Source organism: Homo sapiens, chromosome 2 (genome assembly GCF_000001405.40).
Source record: "Homo sapiens chromosome 2, GRCh38.p14 Primary Assembly".
Taxonomy (NCBI): domain Eukaryota; kingdom Metazoa; phylum Chordata; class Mammalia; order Primates; family Hominidae; genus Homo; species Homo sapiens.
In genome coordinates, this window is record NC_000002.12 from 238,543,624 (window position 1) to 238,556,860 (window position 13,237).

The 13,237-nt window shown below is 48.3% G+C and overlaps 1 long non-coding RNA gene across 1 annotated transcript in view, besides 1 other annotated feature; it reads right to left on the bottom strand.

Moving 5' to 3' along the window:
- Positions 1–11,876, bottom strand: part of LINC01107 (long intergenic non-protein coding RNA 1107) — a 44,810-nt gene extending 32,934 nt beyond the window's left edge. Inside the window, exons 1-2 of the long non-coding RNA NR_037809.1 lie at positions 10,851–11,876; positions 7,788–7,924 (exon numbers count right to left, since the gene is read on the bottom strand). This is a non-coding gene — a long non-coding RNA (long intergenic non-protein coding RNA 1107). The remainder of the gene's footprint in view (positions 1–7,787; positions 7,925–10,850) is intronic.
- Positions 12,343–12,844: an enhancer, noted in NCBI's record as "H3K4me1 hESC enhancer chr2:239464607-239465108 (GRCh37/hg19 assembly coordinates)". NCBI's record gives its function as "activates a minimal SCP1, AML or CMV promoter by ChIP-STARR-seq in primed H9 embryonic stem cells {active_cell/tissue: H9 hESC(primed)}" and the evidence as "EXISTENCE:reporter gene assay evidence [ECO:0000049][PMID:30033119]".

Consider the following 13,237-nt stretch of genomic DNA (forward strand, 5'->3'; position numbering starts at 1 on the left):
TGCTCTTACCTTAGGGATGATTCAAGATACCTCCTGGTGAAGTGCTGCCACCTCAGGGAAGATTCAAGGCACCTGCTGTTGTAGTGCTCCTACCTCAGGGATGATGCAACATGCAAGACACTTCCTGGTGCAGTGCTCCCGCCTCAGGGATGCTCTAAGACATCTCCTGGTGTAGTGCTCACAATTCAGGGATGATCCTAGACACCTCCTGGTCCAGTGCTCACACCTCAGGTGTGATGCAAGACACCTCCTCTTGCAGTACTCCCTCCTCAGGAATTAGCCAAGACACCTGCTGGTGCAGTGCTCACACGTCAGGCATGATTCAAGACACTTGCAGGTGCAGTGCTCCCACCTAAGTGATGATCCAAGACACCTCCTGGTGCAGTGCTCCCAACTTAGGGACGATAAAAGACACTTCCTGGTGCAGTGCTCAAACCTCAGGCATAATCCTACAGATCTCCTGGTGCAGTGTCTGCACCTCAGGGATGATCCAAGACACCTTCTGGTGTAGTGCTCCCACCTCAGAGATTACTTAAGACACCTCCTGATGCAGTGGTTACAACTTAGTTAACATCCAAGATACCTCCTGGTGTAGTACTCCCTCTTCAGGGTTATCCAAAAAACTTCCTGGTGCAGTAGTCCCTTCTTGGGGTTTAATGAAGACACCTCCCTGTGCAGTGCTCCCACCTCAGAGATTATTTCAGACACCTCCTGGTGCAGTGCTCACATCTCAGGGATGATAAAAGACACTTCCTGGAGCAGTGCTCAAACCTCTGGCATAATCCAAGAGACCTACTGGTGCAGTGCCTGCACCTCAGAGATGATACAAAACACCACCTGGTACATGGGGCACACCTCAGACATGATATAAGATACTTCTGGGTGAAATGTTCACACATCAGGTATGATCCAAAGACCTCCTGGTGAAGTGCTCACACCTCCGGGATGATCAAAGACCTGTCTTGATACAGTGCTTACACCTCAGGCATGATCCAAGACATCTCTTGGTGTAGTACTGTTTCCTCTGATGATTCAGGACACCTCCTGGTACAGTGCTCACATCTCAGGGAGGATCCAAGACACCTCCTATTACAGTGCTCACACCTCAGAGATGATTCAAGACACTTCCCGGTGCAGTGATCCTACCTCAGGGATAATCCAAGACACTTCCTGGTGCAATGCTCACACCTCAAAAATGACCCAAGACACTGCCTGAAGTAGTGCTCTCTCCCCGGGGAGATCCAAGACATCTGGTGCAGGGCTCCCATGTCAGGGATGATTGAAAACACCTCCTTGTGCAGTTCTCACATTACAGGGATGATCCAAGACACCTCCTGCTGCAGTGATCACACCTCAGTGATGATCCAAGGCAGTGCTCACACCTCAGGTATGTTACAAAACACCTGGTGCAGTGTTCCCAACTCAGGCGTGATCAAAGACACCTCCTGGTGCAGTGCTCACACCTCAGGGATGCTCCAAAATGCCTCTTGGTGTAGTGCTCACAACATAGATATGATTTAAGACTCCTCCTGGTGTAGCGATCACAACTCAGACATGATCCAAGATACTTCCTGGTGCAGTGCTCACACCTAGGGATGATAAAAAAAAACCACCTGCTGCAGTGCTCACACTCAGGCATGATCCAAGACACATCTTGGTGCAGTGCTTGCAACTCAGGGATAATCCAGCAGACCTCCTGGTCCAGTGCTCATGCCTCAGGGATGATCCAAAACACCTCCTGATGCAGTGCTCACAACTCAGGCATGATTCAAAATACCTTCTGGTGCAGTGCTCCCACTCAAGCATAAGACAAGAAACCTCCTGGTGTGGTGCTCACACCTTATAGATGACCTGAAACACCTCCTGGTGCAGTGCTCACACCCAGGAATGATCCAAGACAATTCCTGGTGCAGTGCTCACACCTCAAGGGTGATCCAAAACACGTCCTGATGCAGTGCTCACAACTCAGGCATGATCCAAGGTACATCCTGGTGAGGTGCTCACACTCACACATGATCTAAGACACCTCCTGGTGCAGTGCTCACACCTCGGGGATGTTCCAAAACACTTCCTGGTGCGGTGGTCATAACTCAGGCATGATCCAAGAAACTTCCTGGTGCAGTGCTCACACCTCAGGGATGCTCCAAAACACCTCTTGGTACAGTGGTCACAACTCAGATATGATTTAAGACAACCCTTGGTGCAGTGGTCACACTCAGATGTGATCCAAGATACTTCCTGGTGCAGTGCTCACACCTAGGGATGATATAAAAAAACCACCTGGTACAGTGCTTACACTCAGGCGTTATCCAAGACCCCTTCTAGTCCAGTGCTCAAACCTCAGGGATGATCCGAAACATCTCCTGATGCAGTGCTCACAACTCTGGCATGATCTGAGATACCTCCTGGTGCAGTGCTCATACCTAGGAATGATCCAAAAAACCACCTGGTGCAGTGTTCACACTCGGGCATAATACAAGACTCTTCCTTGTGCACCTTGGGGGTGATCCAAACCACCTCCTGGTGTAGTGCTCAACCCACAGGGATAATCCAAGACACCTCCTGATGCAGTGCTCCCACCTCAGGGATGATCCAAGATACTCCCTTTTACAATACTCCCTCCTCAGGGATGAGTTAAGACACTTCCTGGCCAGGCACAATCAAGCACGATCCAAGACACTTGCGATGCAGTGCTTTGACCTCAGGAATAATGCAAGACAACTCCTGGTGCAGTGCATACACCTCAGGGATGTCCGAAGACACGTCCTGGTGCGGTGCTCACACTTCGGCGATGATAAAAGACACTTCCTGGTGCAGTGCTCAAACCTCAGGCATAATCCAAGAGATCTCCTGGTGCAGTGCCTGCACCTTAGGAATGATCAAAAACACCTCCTGGTGCAGTGCTGACACCTCAGGCATGATTTTAAACACTTCCTGGTGCAGTGTTCACACCTGAGCGATGATCCAAGACACCTCCTGGTGCAGTGCTCCCACCTCAGGGAACGATCCAAGAGATCTCCTGGTGCTGTGCCTGATTCAAGACACCTCATGGTGTGGTGATCCCACCTCAGAGACGATACAAGAGACCTCCTGGTACATGGGTCACACCTCAGGCATGATAAGACACTTCCAGGTGCAATGTTCACACCTCAGGGATGATCCGAGACACCTCTTGGTATAGGGCTCTTTCCTCTGATGATTCAAGACACCTCCTGGTGCAGTGTTCACACCTCAGGGAGGATCCAAGACACCTCTTGATGTAGTGCTTTTTCCTCTGATGATTCAAGTCACCTGCTGGTGCAGTGCTCACATATCAGGGAGGATCCAAGACACCTCCTGTTACAGTGCTCACACCTAAGGGATGATTCAAGACACTTCCTGATGAGTGATCCCACCTCAGCAATTATCCAAGATACCTCCTGGTGCAATGCTCACACCTCTGAGATGATCCAAGATACCTGCTGGTACAGTGCTCAACCTTCAGGAATGATCCAAGACACCTCCAAGTGCAGTGCTCACACTCAGGCATAATACAAGATGCCTCTTGGTTCACTGCTAACATCTCAGGGATGACCCATGATGCCTCCTGGAGTAGTACTCCCCCCCCAAGGGATGAACCAAGACCCCTTTGGTGCACTGCTCTTACCTTAGGGATGAATCAAGATACCTCCTGGTGAAGTGCTCCCACCTCAGGAAAGATCTAAGACACCTGCTGGTGTAGTGTTCCTACCTCAGGGATGATGCAACATGCAAGACACTTCCTGGTGAAATGCTCCCGCCTCAGGGATGCTCTAAGACACCTCCTGGTGTAGTGCTCACAATTCAGGGATGATCCTAGACACCTCCTGGTGCAGCACTCACACCTCAAGTGTGATGCAAGACACCTCCTTGTGCAGTACTCCCTCCTCAGGGATGAGCTAATACACCTGCTAGTGCAGTGCTCACATGTCAGGCATAATACAAGACACCTTTTGGTGCCGTGCTCACACCTCAAGGATGACCGAAGACACCTCCTGGAGTAGTGCTGTCTCCCCAGGGATGATTCAAGACATCTCCTGCCACCTCAGGGATGAGTTAAGACCCCTTTGGTGCAGTGCTCTTACCTTAGGGATGATTGAAGACACCTCCTGGCGAAGTGCCCACACCTCAGGAATGATCCAAGATACCTCCTGGTGTTGTGCTCCTACCTCAGGGATGATGCAACATGCAACACACTTCCCAGTGCAGTGCTCCCACCTCAGGGATGATCCTAGATGCCTCCTGGTAAAGTAATCACACCTCAGGCGTGATGCAAGACACCTCCTGGTGCAGTGCTCCCAACTCAGGGATGATAAAAGACACTTCCTGGTGCAGTGCTCAAACCTCAGGCATAATCCTACAGACCTCCTGGTGCAGTGTCTGCACCTCAGGGATGATCCAAGACTCCTCCTGATGTAGTGCTCCCACCTCAGAGATTACTTAAGACACCTTCTGGTGCAGCGGTTACAACTCAGTTATCATCCAAGATACCGCCTGGTGCAGTGTTCCCTCCTCAGGGTTATCCAAAAAATCTCCTGGTGCAGTAGTCCCTTCCGGGGGATGAATGAAGACACCTCCTTGTGCAGTGCTCCCACCTCAGAGATTATTTAACACACCTCCTTGTGCAGTGCTCACACCTCAGGGATGATTAAAGACACTTCCTGGTGCAGTGCTCAAACCTCAAGCATAATGCAAGAGACCTACTGGTGCAGTGCCTGCACCTCAGGGATTGTACAAAACACCTCCTGGTGCATGAATCACACCTCAGGCATGATATAAGACACTTCTGAGTGAAACGTTCACACATCAGGTATGATAATCCAAAGACCTCCTGGTGAAGTGCTCACACCTCCTGGATGATCCAAGACACGTCTTGCTACAGTGCTCACACCTCAGGCATGATCCAAGACATCTCTTGGTGTAGTGTTCTTTTCTCTGATGATTCAAGACACCTCCTGATACAGTGCTCACACCTCAGGGAGGATCCAAGACACCTCCTGTTACAGTGCTCACACCTTAGGGATGATTCAAGACACTTCCTAATGCGGTGATCCTACCTCAGGGATGATCCAAGACACCTCCTGGTTCAATGCTCACACCTCTGAGATGATCCAAGATACCTGCTGGTACAGTGCTCAACTTTCAGGAATGATCCAAGACACCTCCTGGTGCAGTGTTCACAGTCAGGCATAATACAAGACACCTCTTGGTGCAGTGCTCACACCTCAAGGATGACCCAAGACACCTCCGGGTGTAATGCTCTCTTTCCGGGGATGATCCAAGACATCTCCTGGTGCCCTGCTCCCACTTTAGGGATGATCCAAGACCCCTTTGGTGCAGTGCTCTTACCTTAGGGATAATTCAAGACACCTCCTGGTGAAGTGCTCACACCTCAGGGATGATCCGAGATACCTCCTGGTGTAGTGCTCCTACCTCAGGGATGATGCAACATCCAAGACACTTCTTGGTGCAATGCTCTCAATTCAGGGATGATCCTAGGCACCTCCTGGTACAGTGCTCACATCTCAGGTGTGATGCAAGACACCTCCTCTTGCAGTACTTCCTCCTCAGGGATGAGCCAAGACACCTGCTGGTGCAGTGCTCACACGTCAGGCGTGATCCAAGGCACTTGCAGGTGCAGTGCTCCCACCTAAGTGATGATCTGAGACACCTCCTGGTGCAGTGCTCCCAACTCAGGGTTGACAAAAGACACTTCCTGGTGCAGTGCTCAAACCTCGGACATAATCCTACAGATCTCCTGGTGCAGTGTCTGCACCTCAGGGATGATCCAAGACACCTCCTGGTGTAGTGCTTCAACCTCAGAGATTATTTAAGACACTTCTTGGTGCAGTGGTTACAACTCAGTTATCATCCAAGATACCTCCTGGTGCAGTGCTCCCTCCTCAGGGTTATCCAAAAAACCCCCTAGTGCAGTAGTCCTTTCTTGGGGATGAATGAAGACACCTCCTTGTGCAGCGCTCCCACCTCAGAGATTATTTAAGAAACCTCCTGGTGCAGTGCTCACACCTCAGGGATGATTCATGACACTTCCTGGTGCAGTGATCCTACCTCAGGGATGATCCAAGACACCTCCTGGTGCAATGCTCACACCTCTGAGATGATCCAAGATACTTGCTGGTACAGTGCTCAGCCTTCAGGAATGATCCAAGACACCTCCTGGCACAGTGCTCACACTCAGGCATAATACAAGACACTTCTTTGTGCAGTGCTCACACCTCAAGGATGACCCAAGACACCTCCTGGAGTAGTGTTCTCTCCCTTGGGATGATCCAAGACAGCTCCTGGAGCAGTGCTCCCACTTCATGGATGATTCACACCCCTTTGGTCCAGTGCTCTTACCTTAGCGATGATTCAAGACACCACCTGGTGAAGTGCTCCCACCTCAGGAATGATCTGAGATACCTCCTGGTGTAGTGCTCCTACCTCAGGGATGATGCAACATGCAAGACACTTCCTGGTGCAGTGCTCCCACCTCAGGGATGCTCCAAGACACCTCCTGGTGCAGTGCTCTCAATTCAGGGATGATCCTAGACACCTCCTGGTACAGTGCTCACACCTCACTTGTGATGCAAGACACCTCCTCGTGCAGTACTCCCTCCTCAGGAATTAGCCAAGACACCTGCTGGTGCAGTGCTCACATGTCAGGCATGATTCAAGACACTTGGAGGTGCAGTGCTCCCACTTAAGTGATGATCCAAGACACCTCCTTGTGCAGTGCCCCCAACTCAGGGTTGATAAAAGACACTTCCTGGTGCAGTGCTCAAACCTCAGGCATAGTCCTACAGATCTCCTGGTGCAGTGTCTGCACCTCAGGGATGATCCAAGACACCTTCTGGTGTAGTGCTTCCACCTCAGAGATTACTTAAGACACCTCCTGATGCAGTGGTTATAACTCAGTTAACATCCAAGGTACCTCCTGGTGTAGTACTCCCTCCTCAGGGTTATCCAAAAAACCTCCTGGTGGAGTAGTCCCTGCTCAGGGATGAACGAAGACACCTCCTTGTGGAGTGCTCCCACCTCAGAGATTATTTAAGACACTTCCTGGTGCAGTGGTCACACCTCAGGCATAATCCAAGAGACCTACTGGTACAGTGCCTGCACCTCAGGGATGATACAAAACATTTCCTGGTGCATGAATCACACCTCAGGCATGATATAATGTGTGAAATGTTCACACCTTATATAAGGTTCACACATTTAAGGGTGAAATGTTCACACTTCAGGTATGATGATCCAAAGACCTCCTGGTGTAGTGCTCTTACCTCTGGGAATATTCAAAACACCTCCTCTTACAGTATTCGCCCCTCAGGGATGATTTAAGACACCCCCGGTACAGTGATCACACCTCAGGCATGATCCAAGACACCTCTTGGGGTAGTGCTCACCCCTCAGGGAGGATCCAAGACACCTCCTGTTACAGTGCTCACACCTCAGGGATGATCCAAGACACTTCCTGGTGCAGTGATCACACCGAAGGGAAGATCCAAGACACCTCCTGTTACAGTGATCACACCTCAAGGAGGATCACGCCTCAGGTATGATCCAAAACACCTCTTGGTGTAATGCTCCTTCTTCTGATGATTCATTCTGGCACAGTGCCTGAACCTCAGGGATCACCCAAGACATCTCCTGATGTAGTGTTTTTACCTCAGGGATTATCCAAGACATCTGGTGCAGTGCTCACACCTCAGGGATGATTCAAGACCCCTTTGGTGCAGTGCTCTTACCTCAGGGATGATTCAACATACCTTCTGATGATGTGCTCACACCTCAGGAATGATCCAAGACACCTCCTGGTGCAGTGCCTGCATCTCAGGGATGATCCGAGGCACCCTTAGGTGCAGTGCTCACACCTCTAGTATGATGCGTGGAATCTCACAAGCACCTAGTGATAAGAAAAGGATCATTTACTAAAGGAACTTGTGAGGCTGGCCTCAGAACTATCTGAACATTGTGTTAGGCCAGTATTTGTAATTCTTCAGGTGAAGAGTCTGTGAACCCAAGATTTTCTCTTAGCCAAAGTTCCTGCTTGTATAAGGCAGCAGAAGACAATATCTCATGTAGGAGAACTTGTTTCCTGTGTATGCACTTTCTCAATTAAACAATGTAATCAACAGCAACAGCTATTACTACTACATGAAGAATTATTTCAGCCAACCAAAAGATGAATCCAAATCATAAACTAAACATGGATTGGACAAAGAAAGGGTGGATGGTGAGCAGGGAATTCGTTTAAATGTGAAATTAAGTCCAAATAATAGTCTTGAGTCTGGACACACATCAGAACATAAACGTTTCCCTGATCACTAATCTAATCAGGTTTCCATGTGGCTGATGGAGATTGTAAAGTGCCACCAATGATAAGGTAAGTGTCACTCTCTAAGAAGCTGAAAAGTTTTATATTGCAATCTGAATGTTTGTGACCCCCCAGCCCCTATAAATTCATATATCGAAATTCTAACCCTTAAGGTGATACTATTAGGACATGGGGCCTCTGGGAGGTGAGTAGCTCATGAGGATGGTGCCTTCATAAATGGGCTTAGTGCCCTTCTAAAAGGGGCCCCAAAGAGCTTATTGGTCCCTTCCACCATGTGAGGACACAGGAAGAAAGCACTGTTTATGAGCCGGAAAAATGGCCCTCACCACACAATGAGTCTGCCTTGATCTTGGCCTTTCAGGCTCCAGAACTGTGAGAAACAAATTTTTATTATTTACAGGCTACTTAGTTCATAGCGTTTTGTTATAGCAGCTGAACAGACCAAGGCAGACTACACGTCTATTGTGGAATTAGTCACATCTCTCTTCCCTTCTAGACCGCAGTCTCTCTGAGGACAGATTATTTATTCCGAGGACATATTTTGTTTTGTGTATGACTGAGCCACTAGCAGCAACATAACCTGGAACTTAGGGAATAATCAATAAGTATTTTCTGAATAAATGTTAATAATTTTAATAAGATAAAAATCACAACAGATTAACCAAAATGGCAAAAAATGTGCAGAGAATACCAACCAAAAATAGGATGCTAGGGAAGTTGGAATAAGTGTAATTCTGCTAACTTATTCACTTTGTTTTGTTACAGTAGATCATAACGTTCAGAAACACAGGATAAGAAGTATTTTTAAAGTTATAAAAAGAATTAAGGCTGGGTGTGGTGGCTCATGCTTGGAATCCCAGCACTTTGGGAGGTCAAGGTGGGAGGATTGCTTGAGGCCAGGAGTTTGAGACCAGCCTGGGCAACATAGAGAGATCCCCTCTCTACAAAATTAAAAAAAAAAATTAGCTGGGTGTAGGTCTGTGCACCTGTGGTCCCAGCTGCTTGGGAGGCTGAGGCAGGAGGACCGTTTGAGCCCAGGAGTTCTGGGCTGCAATGAGCCGTTATGGGGCCACTGCACTTTAGCTTCCTCATGATCCTTTGGACATCCCACTCCACTCAGCAGAATTAACTTCTCCCCGTATTCATTTCCTTATATTTATATAAAAAAGAATTACAATGAAAACAACAACGATGACTGTATTCTTCCAAGGTATAGGAGAGGACAGAGAGAAAGAAGACAACCTAACAATATGTAAAACAACAATGGAAGAAAACCCCTAGGAAGCATTCCACCAGGAGATTGAAATAAGATCGTATAAGACAAAATGTATCAATTATAATTATAAATGTAAATGGGATAAATTTACCCATTTTAAGAAAAAGACTCTCGGGGGCCACATAAGCCCAAAGACTTTTTGTGTGTTTACAATAAGAAAAATGAACACAGAATCATGAGAATATTTCCAAGTAAATAAAAAAGAAAATAAAACCCAGAGTGAAGTAGGAGTCACGATATTAATACTAGAAAATTTGAGTTCAAAGAGGAAAAACTGCATGAAGAGTGTTTCTTTTTGTTGATAAAATGTTCAATCCATAATGAAGTTATATACTTCCATAAAACTAAATATAATAGACAGTATTAATATTTATTTGAGAGGCCGGGCGTGTTGGCTCACGCCTGTAATCCCAGCACTTTGGGAGGCCAAGGCGGGTGGATCATGAGGTCAGGAGTTCGAGACCAACCTGGCCAAGATGGTGAAACCCCATCCCTACTAAAAATACAAAAATTAGCTGGGTGTGGTGGAGGGTGCCTGTAATCTCAGCTACTCGGGAGGCTGAGGCAGAGAATTACTTGGACCCGGGAGGCAGAGGTTGTAGTGAGATTGCACCATTGCACTCCAGCCTGGGGAACAGAGCGAGACTCCGTCTCAAAAAAAAAAAAAAATATTTGAAGTGGGATTGGAACCACAGGGAGAAACTGGCGGCACTACAGCTGTGGGCACTCTTAATCTCCCAGTCCCTGGTAGGTTTTGGAGACGAAGGTAAGTGGGCTTAACAGGTAATAATTGCTCCGTATTACTCAGAGTGTGGATGATGTCACATTACCTTTTCCCTCCAAATCAAATAAAATTTAGCCAAAACGTCCATATGCAAAGACTGGTAGCAAGTCTGACATTATTATTATTTTTTTTTTCAATTGAAGCCTCACCCCTCCCTTGAACTCAACATGGGGACTTCTTTCTGGACAAAGGGGAGAGACCTGGTCCTCTGTCCAAGGTGCGTTCTGCCGCTGCTGCCCCCCTCCCAGGCCAGGCCTGTCCACTCAAAGCCTGGCAGCTCCAGCAGTGAGTCAAAGCCCCTGTGCCAAGTGGGGCCACAGGGATGCGGCCCCCCCGTCACCCCCACAGCCCCTTTGGCAGCCCTTCTACCCCAGGCCTGCAGCTGAGGGCCTGTCTGTTAGCTCTGCGGGTGGGCTGGAGGTGTGGTCAGTTACCTTTAGCTCCTATCTTGGTCCATTTGGGCTACCGTAACAAAATACCGTACACGGCGTGGCTTAGGAGCATCAGGAATGTGTGGCTCACAGTTCTGGAAGACGGAGGTCCGAGGTCGAAGGCCCAGCAGCTTCGGTGTCTGGTGCGGAACCGCCTTCCAGCTGGTAGGTGTCGTCTCTCAGGCCTCTTTGATGAGCCTGATCCCGTTCGTGAGGTTTCTGCCTCTGTGACCTCATCACCTCCTAATGTGAGGCCCCGCCCTCACTTGGGGATGAGGATTCCAGCATGTCCGTTTGCGGGGGACATATTCTGACCGTTGAACTCTTTAAAGCAAAGCCCTAATTTCTCCTCTTTCTTTCCTAGTGGGGCTGATGGCGCAGTGGGAAGAGTTTGACTGTCCAGATAGCCTAGTCCCAGACCCCAGACCAGAAATCCTGTTTAGGGGCTCAGTATTGAGAAAGGCAATGTCTGGGTCCCCCTTCCTCAAGGCTGGGCAAGCGGCCCTGCCCCTGTGAGAGGTGCTGCCCCTGCTACTCAGCCCTGCCCTGCGGACGCAGTCTGCTGCGGGGGTTTCTTGGCAAATTAGCCAACACATCAGGGTCTCGAGTATGCAAATAATGGAAGACTGACATGGAAGTAGTCTATGTTGTAACCATCCTTGCGACAGAGCCCACCTGACTTGCTGTGTCCCTGGATCCGCAATACATTCTAAATGCTGGAGACAGTAGAGGTCACATCTCCTAACTACAGTGTAATGACAGTCAAAATAAAAATTCAGGAATAAATTGGAACAAGAAGACTCGCTTCCTGGGAACTTAAAACAGTCATCTCATGGATAAAAGAGAAAAACCAAATCAGCAGTGACACAATATTTAGAAAAGAACAAAAAAGAAAAAGTTACATGCTAGAGCTTATTAGATGTAGCTTGGACTATACTGAGAAAATAATTCCACAGTTTAAAAACTGTTAAAGGAAATTAAGAAATCACTTGAAATGAAAGACAAACAAACCCAAGGAAAGCAGAAGTAAGGACTACAGATAACAGCAGAAATAATGAATTCAAAGATGGAAACAAGTGAATTGATAAATGAAGCCTGAGAGCTGACTCTAGAAAAATCGAATAGATAATCTACTAACTTGTTAACCAAGAAGAAATGTAAGAAAACACAAATTCCCCTCATAAGACTAGCCTTGGATAAACCAGAATTTACAGAGAACAATTCTTACCATTCTAAGTTAAAAGAGTTTGAAAACGTAGTTGAAGAAGGTAATTTTTGAAAAGTATGTATTATTAAAATTAATTGAAGAAGTGTTAACATATTGAAATGCACCAACATCTGTAGAAACATTTGAGAAAGCTGTAAAAGAATCAACGCAACGAAGTGTAGCTTGTGTGTGTGTGCATGGTGTGTGAGAGTGTGTGCCTATATGAGCATGTGTGCATACATGTGCATATTTATGGGATGTGTGTGCATGCTGTGTGTGTGTGCCTGTGTGCATGTGTGCACATGCATATGTGTGTGTGATGTGTATCATGCATGATGTGTGTGTACGTGGCAAGTGTGTGTTCCTGTCTGTGCACGCATGTGCATGTGTGCATGGTGTGTGTGTGTGTATGTGTGTGTGTGTGTGTGTTTTAGCCTTCTGTAATCTTTCTCATGCTTTCCAAGCTCCTTCAAATGCAAGTAATAATAATCAAAGGAAAACGAAGCCCCGTATGTTTAGGAACAGTGCCATGCTTTGCTGACTGGCGAAGCTCTGTATCTTTAGGGGCGGTGTCATGCTTTGCTGACTGTCAAAGCCCTGTATCTTTAGGGACAGTGCCATGCTTTGCTGACCATGGTGCTGGCTGTCTACCGCTGGTCCAGACCCACCTCCATCCTCGCCACGCTCTGTGTTGCAGGAGGCTGACTGCATGGGCCAGACCCCAGCGGCTTCTCTGCTCTTTGGCTTCTGGTCAGGTTGGCAGCCAGGGAGAGAGAGTAGAAGGGGGCAGGAGCTGGGCAAGGCCGCCTGGCTCCCACCCTGTCTGTTGCTGTCATTTGCCTTCTACTTCTGCCTACACTCAAACGTCTCAACTTCTGCCCTTCTGCTGATCTCTCGGCTCCTCTCGGCCTGTGTGACAGACTTGGAGATGTGCCACCCAGATGCCCCTTCCAGGAAGGACTTGCTCCCAGCTTTGGGGAGTGGTCAGAACATGGCTTCCACCTGTTAGCTCTTCAGGATCTTCCCAGTGATGAGCCCCAACCGGCCTGGGCCAAGTTTTTCATGCCCAGCTAACACCCGGAGACTGGGAGAGGGTCTTGGGAGACCCGAGGTGGGATGCTGGATGGGTACTGTGCACTTGGGAGCTTCCAGACAGGCCTGTACCACAGTTGAACGTCTCCCT